Raw genomic sequence first — 22,391 nt, 5'->3', positions numbered from 1 at the left:
AAAAGCCTGGGCAGATAGGGGTAAGTCAATTGTGAAACCCCACCTCCAAGCCAAAGACAGTTTAAAGCCTGAAAGCCAAGCTACAGGTTAAATCCTCAGACCAGACTGAGAACTTGTCTTCCCATTTGGCATGTTTCCTCTGATTGATCCTCACCCTTCCCCTATTATACATATACCTACCCTTTCCTAATTGGTTTTCTATATTCTCATGCCCACCTTTGAGTGGTGTCTTCACTTTAACCCTTTTTGCATACTCACACACCAACTAGCACACACTCCCCATTCTGAGTCCATAAAACGCCCCAGACCCAGCAGCACAGGGAGAAACCACCTGACCGTTGGGATTGGGGACTGACCTCCCCGCAATGGCCTCTGAGAGCTGTTCTGTCACTCAATAAAACTCCCCTCCTTGCTCTCTCTTCTATTCTCAGCGCATCCTCATTCTTCTTGGGTTAGGGATAAGAACTCCGGGACTGGAGCACAGGCCAGACTCAGCCCGGGTAGGCCGAGTGGGCAGGCCATCTCCTGCAGCAGGAGAGTGAGGCCTGGGTAGGGCATCACAGGCTAGAAGTCCCTGCCTTGCAAAGTGACCCAGAAGAAAATCCTGCATTACAGGCTAGTCTCAAGCTCTTGGGCTCGAGCAATCCTCCTGCCTCGGCCTCCCAGAGTGCTGGGATTATAGGCATAAGCCACCTCACCTTGCCCTGGGCACACAGCTTTCAAGTCTTTTCAGAGAGTAAGTCTTTTCCCTCCTCAGAACACCTCCTCTAGACTTGAGGACAAGAGCATTATCCCTTCTCTCTGTTCAAAGTTGCACCAAGGACCCAAACATTAGCCCTAAAATCTCCTCTAGTTCTCCCAGATGATCAGGGCTTTTCTGGCCTGCCAGATAGCTCAGCATTCTCAAGGTAGGCCTGCCCTCTGGAGACACAGTGCTCACATGTCCCCAGTACCATGGCTACTTTCTGTTTCAGACTTGGTTCAGTCTCCTAGCATTCATTTTCTATCTCCTGTTTCCACTCTATTTTTTGTAACTTTTATATTAGGTTTGGGGGCACATGTGAAGGTTTGTTACATAGGTAAACAGATATCAAGGGGATTTGTTGTACATATTATTTCGTCACCCAGGTATTAGGCCCAGTACCCTGTAGTTATCATTTCTGCTCCTCTCCCTCCTCCCACCCTCCCCTGTCAAGTCAACCCCAGTGTCTGTTGTTTCCTTGTTTATGTCAATGTGTTCTTATCATTTAGCTCCCACTTGTGAGAACATGTGGCATTTGGTTTTCTGTTCCTGCGTTAGTTAGCTAAGGATAATAGCCTTCAGCACCACACACTCTATTTTTCAACTGCTGAAAAATTATTTTTACTAAATGCTGAACAGATCAAAAAATTTTATAAAATACATATATAAGGTATAAAGAATCATAATCAGATGAACACCTGTGAACCTACCCCTCAGTTAAAATCACATTAGAATGAATCCTGCAGTCCCTAGAATATTCCTCCCTAAACCCATTCCCTTTTCTCCCACCTCCAAGGCAAACACTGTGCTGAATTTTGCGTTTACCATTCTCTTGTGTTTCTTGATAGATTTCCTACATATGTTTGAATCTGTAAATAATATATTCAGTTTGGCATGTTTTTAAACTTTAAATTGATTCATATAGTATATATTGAAACAATGTTTTTGAAATTCACCTATATTGTTGCAAGTAGCTACAACTGATTGTTGAAATGGTTCATAGTATTCATGTGTAATATACTATAGTTTTTAAAATCCATTTTACTCTTGGTATTTGGGCCGTTGTCAGTGATTTCTATTATGAATGGTGCTGCTATAAACATTCTTGTACATGTCTCCTGGTATACACTGACAAGAGCTGCTCTTGGAGTGGAATTTCTGGGTCAGAGTGTAGAAACATGTTTAAATTACCAAGATAATTCTAAACCGTTTTCCAAAGTGGATGTTCCAATTTATGCTCCCATGATCACTGACCATCTCATTAATTGTGTGACATCTTTGCCAGCACTTAATATTGTTCAACTTCATAATCTTTATCAGTCTGGTAGATGTGAAATGGTATTTTCTTATAGTTTTGTTTACTGGATTGTCAAAGAGGCTTAGAATATTTTCACATGTTCACTGACCACTTGTCATTCCCCTTCTTGAAGTGGGGCTTCTGCGCTAACTCTTGGGTGAAGCATGTGGGCACAGGCCCTCAAGGACAGATGGCCCAGCCCAGAGTTTTAGTTTCTCAGGTCTTCCCATGACTGAGTAGAGGCCCTCCTAGCTACTTGCATCCCACCTTACTCAGTGACCCTCCGTCAAAACAACTGTCAGGGCCAGGCACGGTGGCTCACGCCTGTAATCCCAGCACTTTGGGAGGCCGAGGTGGGAGGATCACCTGAGGACAGGTATCAGGGGAACCCGCCCCCAATAATTCAATGTTATTTCATGTAGGTTCTTTTCTATTTCCCTAAGTGTCAGACAGTCCGAGAAATAAAGAGTACAGGAGAGAGAAATTTTAAAGCTGGGTATCCGGGGGAGACATCACATGTCGGCAGGTTCCGTGATACCCCCCAAGCCGCAAAACCAGCAAGTTTTTATTAGTGATTTTCAAAGGGGAGGGAGTGTACGAATACGGTGTGGGTCACAGAGATCACATGCTTTACAAGGAAATAAAATATTACAAGGCAAATGGAAGCAGGGCGAGATCATAGGACCCAGGCGAAATTAAAATTGCTAATGAAGTTTCAGTCACGCATTGTCATTGATAACATCTTATCAGGAGATAGGGTTTGAGAGCAGACAAGCCGTCTGACTAAAAATTTACTAGGTGGGAATTTCCTCATCCTAATAGGCCTCGGAGTGCTACAGGAGACTGGGGCTTATTTCATCCCTTATCTGCAACTGTAAAAGACATTCCATTTTAGAAAGACAGGCCATTTTAGAGACCAACCCCTGGAAAGGCATTCTCTTTCTCAGGTCTGTTCCTTACTGAGAAAAGGAATTCAGTGATATTTCTATTTGCTTTTGAAAGAAGAGAAATATGGCTCTGTTCTGCCTGGCTCTCAGGCAGCCAGACCTAATGGTTATCTCCCTTGTTCCCTGAACATTGCTGTTATCCTGTTCTTTTTTCAGGGTGCCCAGATTTCATATTGTTTAAACACACATGCTTACGAACAATTTGTGCAGTTAACACAATCGTCGCAGGATCCTGAGGCGACATACATCCTCAGTTTACAAAGACAATGGGATTAAGAGATTAAAGTAAACACAGGCATAGGAAATCACAAGAGTATTGACTGGGGAAGTGATAAATGTCCATGAAATCTTCACAATTTATATTCTGCCATGGCTTCAGCCGGTCCCTCCGTTTGGGGTGCCTGACTTCCTGCAACAGACAGGAGTTCCAGACCAGCCTGGCCAAGATGGTGAAACCCCATCTCTACTAAAAAATACAAAAAAAATTAGGGTGTAGTGGTGCCTGCCTGTAATCCCAGCTACTTGGGAGGCTGAGGCAGGAGAATCTCTTGAACCTGGGAGGTGGAGGTTGCAGTGAGCCAAGGTCACGCCATTGTACTCCAGCCTGGGCGACAAGAGCGAAAATCCGTCTCTAAATAAATAAATAAATATGTCAGGTGGTCTCCATCTCATAAAACCAGCTCCAGCAAACAGGGGTTGAAGCTCAGGATCCAGGCTGCTCTGTGGCCCACAACCCAGTCGAGCCAACAGGCCAAGACCTTCCTGACTGGTGGCCAGCGCCATGCCTGCAGGCCGCTCACACCAGAGATGCCACTTAGAACTCTCCACTGGGGAGTTCGATCGGTAGCGGGAGCGGAGAGCGGACCCCGGAGAGCGGACCCCAGAGAACCCTGAGCAGCCCCGCCGCTGCCGGCCTAGTTACCGTCATACCACGGGAGGAGCCGCAGCTGCCGCAGCCGGCCCCAGTCTCCATCACCGCAACCAATGAGCAGCAAGGCCGAGACCCAGCAGCCACCCGCCGCCCCCGCCTTTCCCCCCACCGCCCCCCTCCCGTCCCCCCGCCGCCCCCGCCCTCAGCGCCGCCGACACCAAGCCCGGCACTACGGGCAGCTGCGCAGGGAGCGGTGGTCCGGGCGGCCTCACATCGGCGGCGCCTGCCAGCGTGGACAAGAAGGTCATCGCAGTGAAGGTTTTGGGAACAGTAAAATGGTTCAATGTAAGGAACGGATATGGTTTCATCAACAGGAATGACACCAAGGAAGATGTATTTGTACACCAGACTGCCATAAAGAATAACCCCAGGAAGTACCTTCGCAGTGTAGGAGATGAAGAGACTGTGGAGTTTGATGTTGTTGAAGGAGAAGAGGGTGCGGAGGCAGCAAATGTTACAGATCCTGGTGGTGTTCGAGTTCAAGGCGGTAAATATGCAGCAGATCGTAACCATTATAGACGCTATCCACGTCATAGGGGTCCTCCACGCAATTACCAGCAAAATTACCAGAACAGTGAGAGTGGGGAAAAGACCGAGGGATCGGAGAATGCTCCCGAAGGCCAGGCCCAACAATGCCGGCCCTACCGCAGGCAAAGGTTCCCACCTTACTACATGCGGAGACCCTATGGGTGTCGACCACAGTATTCCAGCCCTCCTGTGCAGGGAGAAGTGATGGAGGGTGCTGACAACCAGGGTGCAGGAGAACAAGGTAGACCAGTGAGGCAGAATATGTATCGGGGATATAGACCACGATTCCGCAGGGGCCCTCCTTGCCAAAGACAGCCTAGAGAGTACGGCAATGAAGAAGATAAAATCAAGGAGATGAGACCCAGGGTCAGCAGCCACCTCAACGTCGGTACCGCAGCAACTTCAATTACCAACGCAGATGCCCAGAAAACCCTAAATCACAAGATGGCAAAGAGACAAAATCAGCCAATCCACCAGCTGAGAATTCGTCTGCTCCCGAGGCTGAGCAGGGCGGGGCTGAGTAAATGCCGGCTTACCATCTCTACCATCATCCGGTTTAGTCATCCAACAAGAAGAAATATGAAATTCCAGCAATAAGAAATGAACAAAAGATTGGAGCTGAAGACCTTAAGTGCTTGCTTTTTGCCCGTTGACCAGATAAATAGAACTATCTGCATTATCTATGCAGCATGGGGTTTTTATTATTTTTACCTAAATATGTCTCTTTTTGGTAATAACAAACGTGTTTTTTTTAAAAAGCCTTGTTTTTCTCAATACGCCTTTAAAGGTTTTTAAATTGTTTCATATCTGGTCAAGATGAGATTTTTAAGCACTTTATTTTTAATTTGTAATAAAAGTTTACAACTTGATTTTTTCAAAAAAGTCAACAAACTGCAAGCACCTGTTAATAAAGGTCTTAAATAATAATAATAAAAAGAACTCTCCACTGGGCACCCTCAAAATTGCACAAGTTCCTTCTGTTATTAGTTCATGCTGAGTTGTGATGCCAGCACTTCAAGCCTTGTTAATCATTGGATCAACAAGTACCGAGCTAGGTGCTAGAGAGAGATGGAAAAAGGCACCTGGGCCCAGCCCTAAGCCTGGATCGCGGACAGTGACGTTGGTCCACACCTCACCTGCCCTCTCTGCCCTGCTACATGCCCCAGGCTTGCCCTGAACCGTGAGCTCTAGAAATTCCAGGTCCGGGTCGCAGCCACAGGGCAGTCAGGCGTGTCACGTGACCGCGCCGGGTAGAGGGAGACAGAGTCGCACGGCTGAGACGCCAGGCAGTCGCCTAGCAACAGCGGGACGCGGAGCGATGGAGACCAGCAGCAGGGAGCTCCAAGCCGCGGAGTATTTGGAAAAGCATCAGATCAAGGAGGTGGTTAGCTACCTCACCAGCGCCCTCCTTTTCTTTCGGCCGGGTAAGGGCCCCCATGCCCCGGTACAGCCATACCTCCATGTGGGGTTCGCTTCCCACACGAAACCCCCCTCTTACACATTCGCTTTCCACTGCCTCCCAGCCACGTGAGCCCTTCTGCTGTTGATTAACTCTGCGGCCTTCAATAAAAGTCCCTCAGGCTGCAGTACAATGGCGTGATCTCATTTCACTACAACCTCCACCTCCTGGTGGCGATTCTCAGGGGCGATTCTCCTGCCTCAGCCTCCTGAGTGGCTGAGATTACAGGCGCCCGCCACCATGCATGGCTAATTTTTGTATTTTTAGTAGCGACAGGGTTTCGTCATGTTGGTCAGGCTGGTCTCGAACTCCTGACCTCAGGTGATCTGCACGCCTCGGCGCCTCAAAGTGCTGGGATTGTAGGCGTGAGCCACCGCGCACGGCCAAAGTTTTTAATCTGGCAACTAAACAATTGATAGGGTAGGATAGAAGATGTTCTAGAGGGGATCGCTTTTCCTGACTTTTTTTACACATCTGAACCCCCTACAAAATTTGAATCGTTTTGTAATTTGGGAGTGGTGTGTCATTTAAAAGTTATATTTAGGTGAAAATGGTTTTATGTCCTCCCCAGGGTGCAGAATTGTAATTTGCCGACCTCCATATGGAGCGTCCGAAATGCCAAAATTGTCCATTTGCTTCTGTGTAAGGAAGTGGAAATACCAAACATTCCAATTTTGCCAAAAAACACCCAACCAATATCATGTATAGGAGACAGAGTTCTTGCTAGTTGTTTTAAAGTATTAAAACAAATATTAGAAAGAAAAAAAAAGGCCGGGCACGAGATGGCGCCACTGCAGCCTGGGCGACAAAGCGAGATCCTATCTCAAAAATAAAAATAAAAATAAAAAATAGGCCAGGAGCAGTGGCTCAGGCCTGTAATCCCAGTACTTTGGGAGGCCGAAGCGGGTGGATCACTTGAGTTCAGGAGTTTGAGACCAGCCTGGCCAACATGGTGAAACCTCGTGTCTGCTACAAATACAAAAAATTAGCCGGGTGTGGTAGCGCATGCCTGTAATCCCAGCTATTCGTGAAGCTCCTTGGGGGCGGTGACTCACGCCTATAATACCAACGCTCTGGGAGGCTGTGGTGGGCAGATCACTTGACTTCAGGAGTTCATAGACCAGCCTGGGCAACATGGCAAAACCCCATCTCTATTAAAAATAAAAAAACTTAGCTGCACGTGGTGGTGCGTGCCTATAATCCCAGCTACTCAAGAGGCTGATGTGGGAGGATCACGTGAACCTGGGAGGCGGAGGTTGCATTGAGCGGAGATTGCTACTCAAGCCAGGTGACAGAGTAAAACACCTTCTCAAAAAAAAAACTAAAAATAAAGACAAATGTTAATTTTCTTCATCATAACAAGGGATATATTATGTTACATTCGTTATATAAAATATTTGTCAACATTTATTTTTAAATTTCATTTTTATTGAAGTGGATGTATGGGGTTTAAAAATTGAAAAGTACTCCAAAGCTTATAATAACAGCATTCCTGTTGCTATCCCCAGCTTCTGCACAGAATAATTTCAACTCTTTTAGCAATATTCTTTGCTATTTATCTTGAGATTTCTAAATAACAGGCCTATATTGCTGCTGCTTAATGTTTTTCCCTCTAGGTTAGATACTAGCTTTATGCTGTGGAAGATGAAAATGCGCCTTTCTTAAACACACACCTCATACACCTGTTCCCACTCACACCCATCTTCCAGATAAATTTAGATCACAATTTTGATATCCTCAGTATTCAGAATTTTTAATATTGTTAGGCAAGTATCTATAATCCTTATAGTATGCTGATTATATTTCCCTTGTTGTTTTCCCTGGTTAATAATATATTTACATTTTTGGCTTAAATTTGTGTGATCATCACTAATTCATCCATACCCTCTTTTGCCACAGTACAGCTGTCCTCTCATTACATTTGCATTCATTGGGTAATTACCCCCACCACCACCACCCAAACCCCGTACCCCCAGCTGTGTGTCTTCCTGCTCCAGTCTGGACTGATAGCTACACAGTGGTTATTCACGGCTTCCCCTCACTCTGATCCTAAGACGACTCCTCGCCTTTCTAGTGTTCAGAGCCTGTTTTATGGCACAGCCAGTAATCCCTCATTCTTGCTTTACCGCTTTCTTCTGGTGGAGCATATCCTTTAGTGGCTTCCTGAGAGAGCGTGCTTTGAGGGGTAAAGATTTTGGGAACACACGTATATAAAAATGTGAGTTCCTACATTCAAAACTTTTTAATAGAGTGGAGGCTGTGCACGGAGGCTCACACCTCCCAACACTTTGAGAGGCCAAGGCGGGTGGATCACTTGAGGTCAAGAGCTAGAGACCAGCCTGGCCAACATGGTGAAACCCCATCTCTACTAAAAATACAAAAATTAGCCAGGCATGGTGGCATGTGCCTCTAGTCCCAGCTACTAGGGAGACTCTGGCAGGAGAATCACTTGAACCTGGGAAGTAGAGGTTACAGTGAGCTGAGATTTCACTGTTGCACTCCAGCCTGAGCAACAGAGTGAGACTCTGTCTCATAAAATAAAATAAGAGTGGACACAATTTTAACTTGGAACATATTGCCCTCAGAATTTTTAAGGCATTGCCCCATTGTCTTCTAATTTCTCATGTTGCTCTGAAGAATTCTGATGTCATATGTCATCAGATACTTGATCTGGCTATGAGGCAAGTTTATTCTTTCCAGAAACTTTTTAGGATTGTCTTTTTATCTTATCCCTGGTGTCCTAAATATATGCCTTGGAATGGTTTTGTTGTGGTTGCTGTTAATGTTTGTGCTCTAGGTACTTTATGGTCTTATTAAATTTGGAGATATTTTTCTTTCAGGTCTAGGAAGTATTTTTCTTATTTTCCTTACCTATATCTTTCTGGAATTATTATTGGATATTGGACATCTTGGCTTGATTTTCTAATTTACTTTACATCTTGATATGTTGTATAATTTTTATCAGAAGAATGCAATTTATGAATCTGCAGATTCTCTTGAGAATTTACCAAATTGTTATTTTGATGCTCCTCACTGACTTATACTTACATTTCCTGTCTTCATTAGTCGTTCTTTATGGGTAAGATGACTGTATGAGTTATCATCCAAACCGGGGATATTTTGAGTGAAAATAGGTACTATTAATAATTATGCCAGGACAACATGGTAAACTAGGACTGTCCCAGGCCAACTGGAACCTTTGATTATCCTGAATACGGGTATCTTAAACATGATATGAACAACAAAATTTAAAAAGACAGGCTTGGGATGGTGGCTCACGCCTATAATCCCAGCACTTTGGGAGGCCAAGGTGGGTAGATCACTTGAGGTCAGGAGTTCGAGACCAGCCTGGCCAACGTGGTGAAAAACTATCTCTACTAAAAATACAAAATTATCCAGATATGGTGGCACAGTGAAATGCTGTCTCTACTAAAAATACAAAATCAGGTGTAGTGGCACATGCTTGTAATCAGTTATTCGGGAGGCTGAGACAGGAGAATCGCTTGAACGCGGAGGCAGAGGTTGCAGTGAGCTGAGATTGCACCACTGCACTTCCAGCCTGGGTGACAGAACAAGACTCTGCCTCAAGGAAAAAAAAAAAAAAAAATTGAACAGACAAAAGCACCATGGCAGCCAATGGGTCAACTGAATGAAAACTTAATTTTTCTGAGTCACAACATGAGCCCACTTACCTGATCTGAGTGAACTTCAGGATAGTCTCTGAGCATCTCAAACAGTTATAATACACACAGAGGCCTCCATTTGGCCATCTCGGTTGCAACACAGAATCACACTCAAAGCAGCACAGTCATTCCAGCAATCAAGAGTAATTTGAAAGGAATCAAAAAGACTTCAATTCATAATCCACAGTAAAACCACTCAAAAGTCCTTCCTCCTTGTTCCCAGCTGTATTCTCCACAGCAGCTGCAGATCCTATCAGGTTCCAAATTCATGACACTCAGCCCATCCAACTCTTCTGTCTCCTCCCTATCTTGCATGTTTTTCTCAGCTCTTTATTATGTCAAACAATTTAGCATCTTGAAGATTCTTTTTTTCCTCCAGCACAAAAAGCCTTGCACCCATCTGGCAAAACCAGAATTTTCCAGTAGAAGGCATTATGGGGGGAAAAGAACCTAAGCAGATAAAGACAAAATTCTCTTTGGTGGAAGGGAAGTCTGGGAATACTCATACATTAATTATATACCTATCACATAAATAGTGTAGCTGTTTTTTTAAAACTGAGACATGGGTACCACTTTTTTTTTTTTTTAAGACGGAGTTTTGCCCTGTCGCCCAGCCTGGGGTACAGTGGCACATCTTGGCTCACTGCAACCTCCGCCTCTGGGGTTCAAGTGATTCTCATGCCTCAGTCTCCAGAGTAGCTGGGATTACAGGTGCAAACCACCATGCCCAGCTAATTTTTGTATTTTTAGTAGAGACGGGGTTTTGCCATGTTGTCCAGACTGGTCTCGAACTCCTGACCTCAAGTGATCCTCTCACCTTGACCTCCCAAAGTGCTTGGATTACAGGTGTAAGTCACTGCACCTGGCTGGGTACCATCTTCAATAATGAGAATTCCGGCTAGGCGCGGTGGCTCACACCTGTAATCCCAGCACTTTGGGAGGCCAAGGCAGGCGGATCACGAGGTCAGGATATCGAGGCCATCCTGGCTAACACAGTGAAACTCCATCTCTACTAAAAATACAAAAAAAATGAGCCAAGCATGGTGGGAGGCACCTGTAGTCCCAGCTATTCAGGAGGCTGAGGCAGAAGAATGGTGTGAGCCTGGGAGGCGGAGCTTGCAGTGAGCTGAGATTGTGCCACTGCACTCCAGCCTGGGCAACAGAGTGAGAATCTGTCTTAATAATAATAATAATGATGATGAGAATTCCTTAAAATATCTTTATAAACACCAAAGCTGGGGAGAGGAAACCATAGGTACAGAAACACTGAGCCAGAATAAGAAGGTAATGAAGCTAAAGAAGGGGTGGGCTGGCATGCAGAGTATGTATGCAGTGCTGTTGAAGTTTTCTGCCTAAGTCCTCCTAATGGCAGAGGAGAAAGGACTTGTCCATTCAGTGTCTGGGACCTTAGCCTGATGTGGCATAAGAAGTTTCTTTGAAGTCGTTTTGTCCTAAAAATACATGAGATCTGTTCTTTCGTAGCTATACCTATTTCTTAATATAAATGTTTTATATTACTCACCAAGGTATGATTGATGCTTAGAAAGACACACTAGCTTTATCCTGTGTCTTTGTGAAGCCCCTGGTATTTCTTTTTTTGTTGAGACGGAGTTTCGCTCTTGTTGCCCAGGCTGGAGTGCAATGGCGCGATCTCAGCTCACTGCAACCTCTGCCTCCCAGGTTCAAGTGATTCTCCTGCCTCAGCCTCCCTAGTAGCTGGGATTACAGGCATGTGCCACCATGCCTGGCTAATTTTGTATTTTTAGTAGAGATGGGGTTTCTCCATGTTGGTCAGGCTGGTCTCGAACTCCCAACCTCAGGCGATCCTCCCACCTCGGCCTCCCAAAGTGCTGGGATTACAGGCATGAGCCACCGCACCCAGCTGAAGCCCCAGGTATTATGATATGTGTCCCAATTTGAAAACCTTGGAATTACAGAGGAGTTGCAGAAAATAAGACTAGACAGTTTAATTGGGCAATTACTATTGAGGAAACAGGTACGCAGTCCCCCATTCTGAATTCCAAAATTCTGAAAGCTGTAAAAACCAACAGTTTCATAAGTTAAGTGTAACAGCAAGACCTGACCTGACCTGAAATAATTTGGTAGGAAAAACTTGCCTCAGCTAGGGTATATTGGGAAATATAATTGCTGGTTGTTACAAAAATTAGCTGAGCATGGTGGCGGACACTTGTAATCCCAGCTACTTGGGAGGCTGAGGCAAGAGAATCAGTTGAACCTGGGAGGCAAAGGTTGCAGTAAGCCAAGATTGCACCACTGCATTCCAGCCTGGGTGACAAAGTGAGACTTCATCTAAAAAATATATATATATGTATGTGTATATATATTTATGTATATGATATAGTTTGGCTGTATCCCCGCCCAAATCTCATCTTGAATTCCCACACATTGTGCAAGGGACCTGGTGGGAGGTAATTGAATCATGGGGCCAAGTCTTTCCCATGCTGTTCTTGTGATAGTGAATAAGTCTCAAGAGATCTGATGGCCACTTTTTTTTTTTTTTTTTGAGACAGAGTTTCGCTGTTGTTGCCCAGGCTGGAGTGCAATGGCACGATCTTGGCTCACCGCAACCCCCACCTCCTGGGTTCAAGTGATTCTCCTGCCTCAGCCTCCTGAGTAGCTGGGATTACAGGCACGCACCACTATGCCTGGCTAATTTTTTGATTTTTTTTTTTTTTTTTTTTTTTAAGTAGGGATAGAGTTTCACCATGTTGGCCAGGCTGGTCTTGAACTCCTGACCTCAGGTGATCCACTCTCCTTGGCCTCCCAAAGTGCTGAAGCTACAGGTGTGAGCCACTGCGCCTGACCTGATCCGATGGTTTTAAAAACAGGAGTTTCTGGCTGGGCACAGTGGCTCACGCTTGTAAACCCAGCACTTTGGGAGGCTGAGGCAGGCAGATCACAAGGTCAGGAGATCGAGACCATCCTGGCTAACACGGTGAAACCCCTCTATTAAAAATATACAAAAAATTAGCCGGGCATGGTGGCGGGCGCCTGTAATCCCAGCTACTCGGGAGGCTGAGGCAGGAGAATGGCATGAACCTGGGAGGTAGAGCTTGCAGTGAGCCAAGATCGCGCCTCTGCACTCCAGCCTGGGCAACAGAGCGAGATTCCGTCTCAAAAAAAAAAGGAGCTTCCCTGCACAAGGTCTCTCTTTGCCTGCTGCCATCCATGTAAGACATGACTTGCTCCTCTGTGCCTTCTGCCATGACTGTGAGGCCTCCCCAGCCATGTGGAACTGTAAGTCTATTAAACCCTTTTTCCTGTATAAATTACTCAGTCTCACGTATGTCTTTATCAGCAGCATGAAAACATACTAATAGAGTACATGTATTTGTTTATATATACTGTGTATATGTATATATATATATATATACTGTATATATGTGTGTACATATACGGGTGTGTGTGTGTCTATATATATACGTGTGTGTGTATATATACATATGGGTGTGTGTGTATATATATGTATGTGTATATATATATATATATATATACACACACATTGTGTGTGTGTATGTGTGTATATATATGGTTGCTGGCTATGCTGCCATTTCCCAGTGACAATTCTATGCTGTATAAAGAGGGAATATGAATTTTTAGGGGATGGCTTTAATAAAATTAGACAATTATATTAATAGTAACCCAAATGAGAGAGATTGCTGTGGGAGTGGTAGAGTAAAATGAATTTGAAAGCTATTGAGAAAAAACTCAATGGAGACTATCATGACTGACTAGATTTCACCATTGAAGATGCTTCCCATATTTTAGTAGAGTGTGGTAAAGTCTGCAAGCTTTAGAAGCACATTGCCTGGATTCATACTGGCTGTGTGGCCTTGAGCAAGTGACTGTTCTGAGGAGTAAATGAAATGATCCATAGAAAATGCTTCACACAGTACCAGGCATATAGTAAGGGCTCAGATAGCTATTATGATTAAGATGTTGAACCTGAACATTGTATCCCTTGAAAAATTGTTTTTAATATCAGCTGACATTGTAACATAGGTGGTTAGTAACATTTGGCTCTTCCTTTCATGATTTAAAAAGATTCTGTCTTTATTATATATATTTATGTTGTGATCATTTTCAAAACATTTTTAAAAGCAGGTAGAGTATAAATTGTAGTCTCCAAACATAAACATTGTAACATCCCATGCAGCCTAAAGGATACACAATAAGCCTGGTTTGGATTTTCATCAAAGTGGTACACCAAGTTCCATTAGCATTATTTACTTATTCAAGCCTTAAAATGAAATGTAGTGAGTTGAAATTCAAACTTGGCCTTTTTCCAGTTTCTGAATTTGATATATGGTCCAGGAAGAAGAAACAGAAGACCTCATACAAAATGTGACTGCCTTTAGTAGCCTATTTATTGCTAGAGCCTATTTGTACAAGTAAGGCACAATATTAGATTTAAAAGTCTACTTCTGGTTTCAACACATAAATTCCCAGGGATGAAAAAGATGCAGTGGAAACCTATAAATTAAAAGATTTAAAAACATAAACTGAGTGAAGAGACAACCTATGCAATGGGAGAATATATTTGCAAACTATATGTCTGATAAGGGGTTAATATCCAAAACATGTCAGACCTCAATAGTTAAAAAAAAAAAAAAATTTTTTTTTTAATGGGCAAAGGACATAGATAGACATTTTTCCATAGAAGATACAGAAATGGCCTACAGGTATATGAAAAAATGCTCAATATCACTAATCGGGTGAATGCAAATTAGAACCACAATGAGATATCACCTCACACCTGTTAGAAAGGCTGTTATCAAAAAACAAAAGAGAGCTGAGCACGATGGCACATGCCTGTAGTCCCAGCTACTCAGAAGGCCGAGGCAGGAGGATCACTTGGGTCCAGGAGTTCAAGACCAGCCTGAGCAACATAATGAGACCCCATCTCTAAAACGCTAACAAAAGATGAAAGATTTCAAGTGTTGGCAAGGATGTGGAGAAAAGGGAACCCTTGTACACTACCGGTGGGATTGTGAATTAGTACAACCATTATGGAAAACAATATGGTGGTTTCTCAAAAACTTAAATATAGAACTTATCTGGCATTCCCACCACTGGGTATATATCCACAGGAAATGAAATCAGTATGTTGAAGAAATACCTGCACTTGTATTCATCGCAGCACTATTCACAATAGCCACTATACACAATCAGCCTAAGTGTCCATGGATGAATGGATAAAGAAAATGTGATATATACACAATGAAATACTATTCAGTCTTAAAAGACGGACATCCTGTCATTTGCAACAACATGGATGAACCTAGAAAACATTAAGTGAAGTAAATCACGCACAGAAGAATACCTCATGATCTTAATTATATGTGGAATCTGAAAAAGTCAAACTCATAAAAAGAGTTAAATGATGCTCAAGAGCTGAAAGGCAGGGGGATTGGGGAGATGTTGGCCAAAGCATACAAAATTTCAGACAAAAGAGGAATAAGTTCAAGAGATCTACTGTATATCATGGTGACTACAGTTAATAATATATTTTATATTTGAAAATTGCTGACAGTAGATTATAAGTGTTCTCACCATGAAAAAGTATGTATACGGGGACTTCAAAAAGTTCATGGAAAAATGGAATTAAAAGATTAAAAATTATTTCTCAACATAAGCTCTATCAAATTCAAGATACTTTTGTAAACAACGATACCAGCCATTTAATCCATCCCTAAAGAACTCTGAGGGCTCTGGGAATTTAACCATGTCAATGCAGTCTTTTTTATATCATTAAAGAAAAATGGGTGCCCTTTAAAGATTTTTTTTAAGATCAGGAAACAAAAAAGTCAAAAGGAGCTAAATCAGGACTGTAAGGTGGATGCTAATGATTTCCCATTGAAACTCTTGTAAAATTGCCCTGTTCCATGAGAGGAATGAGCAGGAGCATTGTGGTGGTAGAGAAGGACTTTCTGGTGAAATTTTCCTGGGCTTTTTTTAACTAAAGCTTTGGCTAACTTTCTTAAAACATTCTCATAATAAGCAGATGCTATCATTCTTTGGGACTCCAAAAATTCAAAAAGCAAAATGCCTTGAGCATCCCAAAAAAGTGTTGCCATGACCTTTGCTCTTGACCGGTCAACTTGTGCTTTGACTGGACCATGTCACCTCTTGGTAGCCATTGCTTTGATTGGGTTTGTCTTTGGGATGATACTGTAGAACTACGTTTCATCTCCTGTTAACAGTTCTTTGAAGAATTGCTTCAGGATCTTGATCCCACGTTTAAAATTTTCCATTGAAAGCTGTGCTTTTTTGTCTGCAGCTGATCTGGTGCAATGGTTTTGGCACTGATTGAGTGGAAAGTTTGCTTAACCTTTTCAGTCAGAATTGCATAAAATGAACCAACTGAGATGGTTTGGGCTATTGTTTATGCTGTTAATTGTCAGTCCTCTTCAATTAGGGCACAAACAAGATTAACTTTGTTCCTCACAAATTGATGTGGATAGGGCTGTAGTGAAATTGGCCACAAATTTTAACAGTTGAAGTTGGCGATGGGTTCATTTTACTTTTCTGTCTACTTTTATAAACATGAAATTCTCAGTAATGATGTAACTTAAAAAAAATTTTTTTTTTTTTGAAACGGAGTCTCGTTCCGTCGCCCAGGCTGGAGTGCTGTGGCGCAATCTCAGCTCACTGCAAGGTCCACCTCCCAGGTTCACGCCATTCTCCTGCCTCAGCCTCCCGAGTAGCTGGGACTACAGGCACCCGTCACCACGCCCGGCTAAGTTTTTGTATTTTTAGTAGAGAACGGGGTTTCACCGTGTTAGCCGGGATGGTCTCGATCTCCCGACCTCATGATCCACCTGCCTCGGCGTCCCAAAGTGCTGGGATTACAGGCGTGAGCCACCGTGCCCAGCTGTTACTTAAATTTTTGAAAGAAAATATGAGTTGGCCAAGCATGGTGGCTCATGCCTATAAATCCCAGCATTTTGGGAGGCTGAGGTGGGAGGACTGCTTGAGCCCATGAGCTCGAGACTGGTCTGGGCAACATAGCAAGATCCTGTCTCTAACTTAAAAAAAAAAATGTAAGAGTAAAGCTTAAGATTGAAATGATAAAATGGTCAGGCAGCAGGAGTGGTATATACCATCCAAACTGCTCTATCACTACTCTTTTTGGCTTTTTCATCATGATTGTTCTGCATTATTTCTGAAAAGTAAGTTGATCGTGATTTTTTATTTTTAAAATTGCTTAAACTACAGAATATTTATCCAAATTGCTTTGTTAGAAATGAGTACATGTGCTTCCTGGAGGACCATATTTATCAGTCTTTGTTTTTATTATATTTATATATATGTGTGTGTGTATGTGTATATGTATGTGTGTGTGTGTGTATATATATATATATATATATATATATATTTTTTTTTTTTTTTTTTTTTTTTTTTTTTGAGAGAGTCTTGCTCTGTTGCCCAGGCTGGAGTGCAGTGGCGTGATCTTGGCTCACTGCAACCTCTGCCTCCCGGGTTCAAGCGATTCTCCTGCCTCAGCCTCCCGAGTAGCTGGGATTACAGGCATGCACCACCACGCCTGGCTAACTTTACTAGAGATGGGATTTCTCCATGTTGGTCAGGCTGGTCTCAAACTCCCAACCTCAGGTGATCTGCCCTCCTCGGCCTCCCAAAGTGCTGAGATTACAGGCATGAACCACCATGCCCAGCCTATTATTTATATCTTATCAATTATTTAGGTTGCCAACTTCTTCCCTGTATTATGCTGTTCCCTCTATGTTTTTGGTTTTCAACCCTGTCTGCAACTTATAGTCACTTGGGGAGTTTTTCTAAAAAATGCCCAGGTCCAGTCTCTATAGTTTTCTATTCTATCATCTGAGATAGGGCATTTGTATATGTAATTATTTAAGTGTTCAATGTCTTACCTTCTTGCTGGACTGTTTATGAAAACTAAGGCCTGTGTCCCCAGCGCCTAGTACAGTGCCTTTGCTATAGCTGTTTAATAATTGTTAAATGACTACTTCTATTTGCGACATATTTTAATTTCGTATCAGAAAGAGCTGGAACTATTCTTTTGCAGAAAAACCAAAAGAATATTTAATATCTCTATTGGAACGACTGAGAATTGCAAAAGTAACAGGCGTGGCGTTTCCTTTCTTTATGGATAACTCTAACATTGTGGCTATGTTTGAGATGATGGACTCCTCAGGCAGAGGCACCATATCATTTGTGCAGTATAAAGAAGGTCAGTACATTCTACAAATTGAGGTAATAGTTTGTGGTCATTCCACAGTTTTTTCTAGCAGAAAATACTTCTCACTTTGTAAAATTCTCACTTCATTTCTTCTCATTATTTTACAGCCCTAAAAACCCTGGGTCTATGCACTGAAGATGAAGATTTACAAGATGATGGACATAAAATAACTTTGGATAAATTCAAGGAGGAAGTGTAAGTTTATTTTTAAGTGACAAATATTTTAATAAGGTGGCATGATTTTGAAGCACAATTAATACCTTTAAAACAGGTTCCTATCTTTTGAAAGAAATATTTTGTTCCCTTGAAACTTTCAGCTGACTGGAAAGTGAGGACAGGTAAGGCTGACGGTAAAGTCCCTAAACTTGGGAATAGGAAGGGAAAATGCTGGGGTTAGAGAGGAAGTTCCAGAGGCAGCTCCATTCTTTTTTTTTTTTTTTTTTTCCCTGAGATGGAGTCTTGCTCTGTTGCCCAGGCTGGAGTGCAGTGGCAATATGTCGGCTCACTGCAACCTCCACCTCCCGGGTTCAAGCGATTCTCCTGCCTCAGCTTCCCAGTAGCTGGGCTTACAGATGCGCATCACCACATCCAGATAATTTTTTTGTATTTTTAGTAGAGTCAGGGTTTCATCATGTTGGCCAGGCTGGTCTCAAACTCCTGATCTCAAGTGATCCACTGCCTCGGCCTCTCAAAGTGCTGGGATTACAGGCATGTAATGGGCTGTGCCCAGCCAGCTCCATTCTAAATAGGAAGCCCCAGCAATTCTCAAAGGATGAGGTGAAGAAGCACCAATATGCTAGGACAACTAACAAACAGAAACATTTTGAGCTCAACACACTAGCTGGAAACTCTCTCTATAAAATACATACTAATAGAATCTATCTCAAAATATTTCCTCAAAATTATCACAAAGTAAATGTTTATCAGAAGCATAGGCTGCATGTTAGTCTGATAATTTTAGATTTTGAGATATTACAGGATTAAAAGTACTAACCCACTGCTAAGTCAGAGAAAAACCATTGGAATAAAATTTAATAGTTGTGGAAAGTTTCCAGGGAATCTAGCTCAATTTTTTAAAGAGTTTTACTCTGAGATTTTATTAGTCAAGTAACTATTATTGAATATACCCCAAGGACAAGGAAAAGTTACAAGAAAAAATAAACTTTTGAGACTTTTGTCTCATAAGTTACATAAATAATAAAAATGTTTAATTACATTCCCTACCACATGGGAATGTTTGAGTCAGAGTGCCATGGCCTGAAATGTTTCATCCAGAAAGAAAGGGTTGCCCACTGTCACACAGAATGAAACTAGGAAGCATTTAAAATAGAAGGGCATTTGTGAGAAATGAAGAACAATCCTATCTTATTCACCATCTCACAATGTGTTTTGTTTTGTTCTTTAGAGACAGGGTCTTGTTCGCTTGCCCAGGCTGCTGTGCCGTGTCACAATCAGAGCTCACTGTAGTCTTGACCTCCTGGGCTCAAGCTAGCCTCCCACCTCAGCCTCCCAAGTAGCTAGAACTACAGGCATGCATCAGGGTCTTGACATGTTGGCCAGGATGTTTTCGCACTCCTGCCTCAAGCAATCCTCCTACCTCAGCCTCCCAAAGTGCTGGGATTACAGGCATGAGACACTGTGCCCTGCCAGTTTCCTCATGGAAATACAGTTAATTCCCAAACTAGATACAGGTGCCTCAATTACAAATATGCATTCAAAGGGAGTTTTAAAAAAATTTATTGGCTATGTTTGATTATCCACAACAGAATTTCCCTTAATTAGCACAGGAAATTGAAAGTTGGTTATAATTTAATATCTCTGCTCGTCTTCAACAGACATACTCAGCATTTATACTTGTAAATAGAATTGAGTTTTCATTGTTTCGTTTTCTGTTTTTGTTTCCTTAGGAACAAGAGGATGAAGGAAATATGGTCAGCATTTTAATAACACCATAAATCCAAGATAATAAGTAATTCTATAAAGTTTTCCAGTTTCATTAATTCAGAATTTCATCATATAACTTGAAATCCAATTGGCTTCCTCTTTCTTAGAAACAAAAACCAAAGAAACCTTTTTCTGAAAGACATTATTTTCCAGTATTAGGCCAATTTGTCCTCAAATTAAGTAGAATCTCAACATCTTGTTGAGCCAGTTTGTAAATTCCAACTTCATTTAATGCTGCTGTGGCAGGAAGCTGCCCTGAAGCTGACTGCAGTACATCTTTCAGCAGTAGTGCAGAACCGACGTTCAAATTCAAAACAATACAGGCTTCTTTTATACTGTTTAGGGAAAACAAAGGAGGGAAATGAGATCTCCATTATCTGCATCAATTATATTACAATTTTGAGAATCCTAAACAGCTTCTCTGCACTGCTGGTCCACATGTTCTCTATAAAAATATTTATGGATTTATTATTTGGTTCTTTTAACATGGTAAGACTACACAGGTGCAGAGTTGCTATTTCTTTAGATTACTATAAGGTAATACGATCCCTATTTCAATATGTATCCGTTATTTCCCTAAATACAATACTTAATATTAACACTATATTAAATATAGCTATAACTTTAGGTAGATTAGAACATGGGAAAAGACAAAAATAAGAGATAAATGAAAGCAGCAGAAAGAACATTAAAATAAATTTTAAAAACAGTCCTATGAAACGTGTAAACATAAGCTTTCATTTTATAAGTCTAAAAGGAATGCTTTATAACCTCACAAAACCCAAACATAATTTAAATTTTACTTTTTTTTTTTGAGACATGGTCTTGCTCTGTCACCTAGGCTGGAGTGAAACTGCACGATCATAGCTCACTACAGCCTCAGCCTCTCAAGTAGCTAGGACTACAGGTCCACACCCCCACACCTGGCTTTTTTTTGTTTGTTCATTTTAATACTTTCTGTAGAGATGGAGTCTTGCTATGTTGCCCAGGCTGGTCTCAAACAGCTGGCCTCAAGCAATTCTCCCACCTCTGCCTCCCAAAGTACTGGGATTACAGATGTGGGCTACTATGCCTGGCCTATAAATTTTAGATCAACAAATTCTGAAACTATAATTATATTTAGAACCAAAATTAATGTCAAATGTTTAAGGAAACAAATTTCTTTCAGGCCTGGCCTATTAGGTATTAAACATATTTGTAATTTTTTTTTTTTTTTGAGACAGTCTTGGCTCACTGCAAGCTCCGCCTCCCGGGTTCACATCATTCTCCTGCCTCAGCCTCCCAAGCAGGTGGGACTACAGGTGCCCGCCACCAGGCCTGGCTAATTTTTTTTTTTTTGGTATTTTTAGTAGAGATGGGGGTATCACTATGTTAGCCAGGATGGTCTCGATCTCCTGACTTTGTGATCTGCCCAACTCAGCCTCCCGAAGTGTTGGGATTACAGGCGTGAGCCACCACGCCCGGCCCTGTAATTTCTTATATTTAGTGAATAGGGCACAACTGTACTTGTTTTCATTTTCTATTTATTCCTCCAGTAACTAAGCAACTAGAAGCATTAAACCAAATACTAGAAAACAAAACCCAACAGGTAATTTATATCTAGTTCTGAAACTTTTTGAGGTCATGGGTCACATCTATCATCTTGGTTTCCCCATTGTGCTGTAAGCATACAGTAGATAGACAATGTTTTAAAATTTCAACTGATCTTATCCCACCCAAACATCTCCAGAACCCTAAAGTTAAAAGGAGTTAGCCTCCTGTAACAATTTGATACATTAATATTAATTGTTAAATGTTGAGCTTACTGTTTAAAATAATTTTCTGGTCTCTTGCAATAGTGAGAAAACAAAGGGAAAAGATTCCGAGTCATATCAAACTGCAGCTGGGCTGCTCCTCCTTCATTGAAGTGATTAGCAAGAATTATCTGAAACAAAGAATAATTCATATAACAGTTGTCTTTATTATCACAGCCCAAAAACAGTCTATTCTTACTTACTTCTTGGTAGATGTATACATCCAGCTTCTCTACAAGCATTTGCCAGAAAATTTTAAATAAGGAGAAACAAAGCTGCTGCTCCAACTGAAGTAAATGGTCTCGTAACGTCAGCAGCAACGGGCAAGCCGAACTGGACAGGGACATCACTGCCTGCTCTGACTGAGATGGCAAGGACAACCATCTGGAAAAAACACATTTTTACCAAAAAATTTTCATCAGTTTCTATTTTTCAAGTTTTTAAATCATTTTAAATTTGAGGAAGTGTTCTGTCCTAGGGCATTTTGGATAAGAAAAAATATACAGCCTAACATTAAAAGCTCTATCAGAAAATAAATGTACCTGTATTTATATTTTCACTCTCAAATACTCTTTAATATGGGGATATATCCAAAATATCCCCAAATTTTAATATGTGAATTACTGATATAAGGCAATTACAATTTAAAATGTCACTTAATTTTTGCATTTTATTTATGTAGTTTTTCTTTTTTTTTGAGACAGAGTCTCGCTCTGTTGGCCAGGCTAGAGCCACAGGGTTCAAGCAATTCTCGTGTCAGCCTCCCAAGTAGCTGGGATTACAGGTGCCCACCACCACGCCCAGCTAATCTTTGAATTTTTTAGT

General features: G+C 42.0%; 2 protein-coding genes, 1 long non-coding RNA gene and 1 pseudogene across 16 annotated transcripts in view, besides 3 other annotated features; 2 read left to right on the top strand and 2 right to left on the bottom strand.

Moving 5' to 3' along the window:
• Nucleotides 977-1,036: an enhancer, noted in NCBI's record as "active region_26466". NCBI's record gives its function as "activates an Ori minimal core promoter by ATAC-STARR-seq in GM12878 lymphoblastoid cells {active_cell/tissue: GM12878}" and the evidence as "EXISTENCE:reporter gene assay evidence [ECO:0000049][PMID:35858748]".
• Nucleotides 3,820-5,370, top strand: YBX1P2 (Y-box binding protein 1 pseudogene 2; annotated as a pseudogene).
• Nucleotides 5,319-5,829: an enhancer, noted in NCBI's record as "H3K27ac-H3K4me1 hESC enhancer chr7:105221845-105222355 (GRCh37/hg19 assembly coordinates)". NCBI's record gives its function as "activates a minimal SCP1, AML or CMV promoter by ChIP-STARR-seq in naive and primed H9 embryonic stem cells {active_cell/tissue: H9 hESC(naive and primed)}" and the evidence as "EXISTENCE:reporter gene assay evidence [ECO:0000049][PMID:30033119]".
• On the top strand, nt 5,734-22,103 carry EFCAB10 (EF-hand calcium binding domain 10). Of its 5 annotated transcripts, none has more exons than NM_001355526.2 (5): nt 5,734-5,869; nt 17,656-17,820; nt 17,937-18,024; nt 19,737-19,760; nt 21,780-22,103. In NM_001355526.2, coding segments are annotated over exons 1-5 (384 nt in total). In that variant the 5' UTR covers nt 5,734-5,763; the 3' UTR covers nt 21,781-22,103. The 5 variants fall into 5 exon arrangements, with proteins under 5 accessions (NP_001342455.1, NP_001342459.1, NP_001342460.1 ...); NM_001355530.2 differs by having other exon boundaries at nt 21,612-22,103; NM_001355531.2 differs by lacking the exon at nt 19,737-19,760.
• Nucleotides 5,830-6,342: an enhancer, noted in NCBI's record as "H3K27ac-H3K4me1 hESC enhancer chr7:105221332-105221844 (GRCh37/hg19 assembly coordinates)". NCBI's record gives its function as "activates a minimal SCP1, AML or CMV promoter by ChIP-STARR-seq in naive and primed H9 embryonic stem cells {active_cell/tissue: H9 hESC(naive and primed)}" and the evidence as "EXISTENCE:reporter gene assay evidence [ECO:0000049][PMID:30033119]".
• Nucleotides 13,567-16,144, bottom strand: EFCAB10-AS1 (EFCAB10 antisense RNA 1). The gene has a single exon (NR_182303.1). It is a non-coding gene; the product is annotated as an EFCAB10 antisense RNA 1 (long non-coding RNA).
• RINT1 (RAD50 interactor 1) overlaps nt 19,550-22,391 on the bottom strand; it is a 35,477-nt gene continuing 32,635 nt past the window's right edge. For all 10 annotated transcript variants that reach the window (NR_144478.2, NM_021930.6, NM_001346600.2 and 7 more), the window contains 3 exons: nt 21,770-21,950; nt 21,579-21,697; nt 19,550-20,108 (listed from right to left, as the gene is read on the bottom strand). Coding sequence is in view for 9 of the 10 variants with exons in the window: in NM_021930.6 (NP_068749.3) it covers nt 19,916-20,108; nt 21,579-21,697; nt 21,770-21,950 (493 nt within the window). In the remaining variant the exon portion in view is untranslated. The remainder of the gene's footprint in view (nt 20,109-21,578; nt 21,698-21,769; nt 21,951-22,391) is intronic.

The sequence above is a fragment of the Homo sapiens genome, chromosome 7, assembly GCF_000001405.40.
Source record: "Homo sapiens chromosome 7, GRCh38.p14 Primary Assembly".
Lineage (NCBI taxonomy): Eukaryota > Metazoa > Chordata > Mammalia > Primates > Hominidae > Homo > Homo sapiens.
The sequence above is the reverse complement of the archived record's forward strand: the minus strand, read 5'-3'. Positions and strand labels throughout refer to the sequence as shown.

What these genes read in the sequence shown, in the direction of transcription:
- EFCAB10 (NM_001355530.2), top strand. Translation starts at nt 5,764, where the DNA reads ATGGAGACCAGCAGCAGGGAGCTCCAAGCCGCGGAGTATTTGGAAAAG. An exon ending in CCTCCTTTTCTTTCGGCCGG is followed by an intron (nt 5,870 to 17,655) that starts GTAAGGGCCCCC and finishes ATTCTTTTGCAG; the next exon opens with AAAAACCAAAAGAATATTTA. An exon ending in ATTTGTGCAGTATAAAGAAG is followed by an intron (nt 17,821 to 17,936) that starts GTCAGTACATTC and finishes ATTATTTTACAG; the next exon opens with CCCTAAAAACCCTGGGTCTA.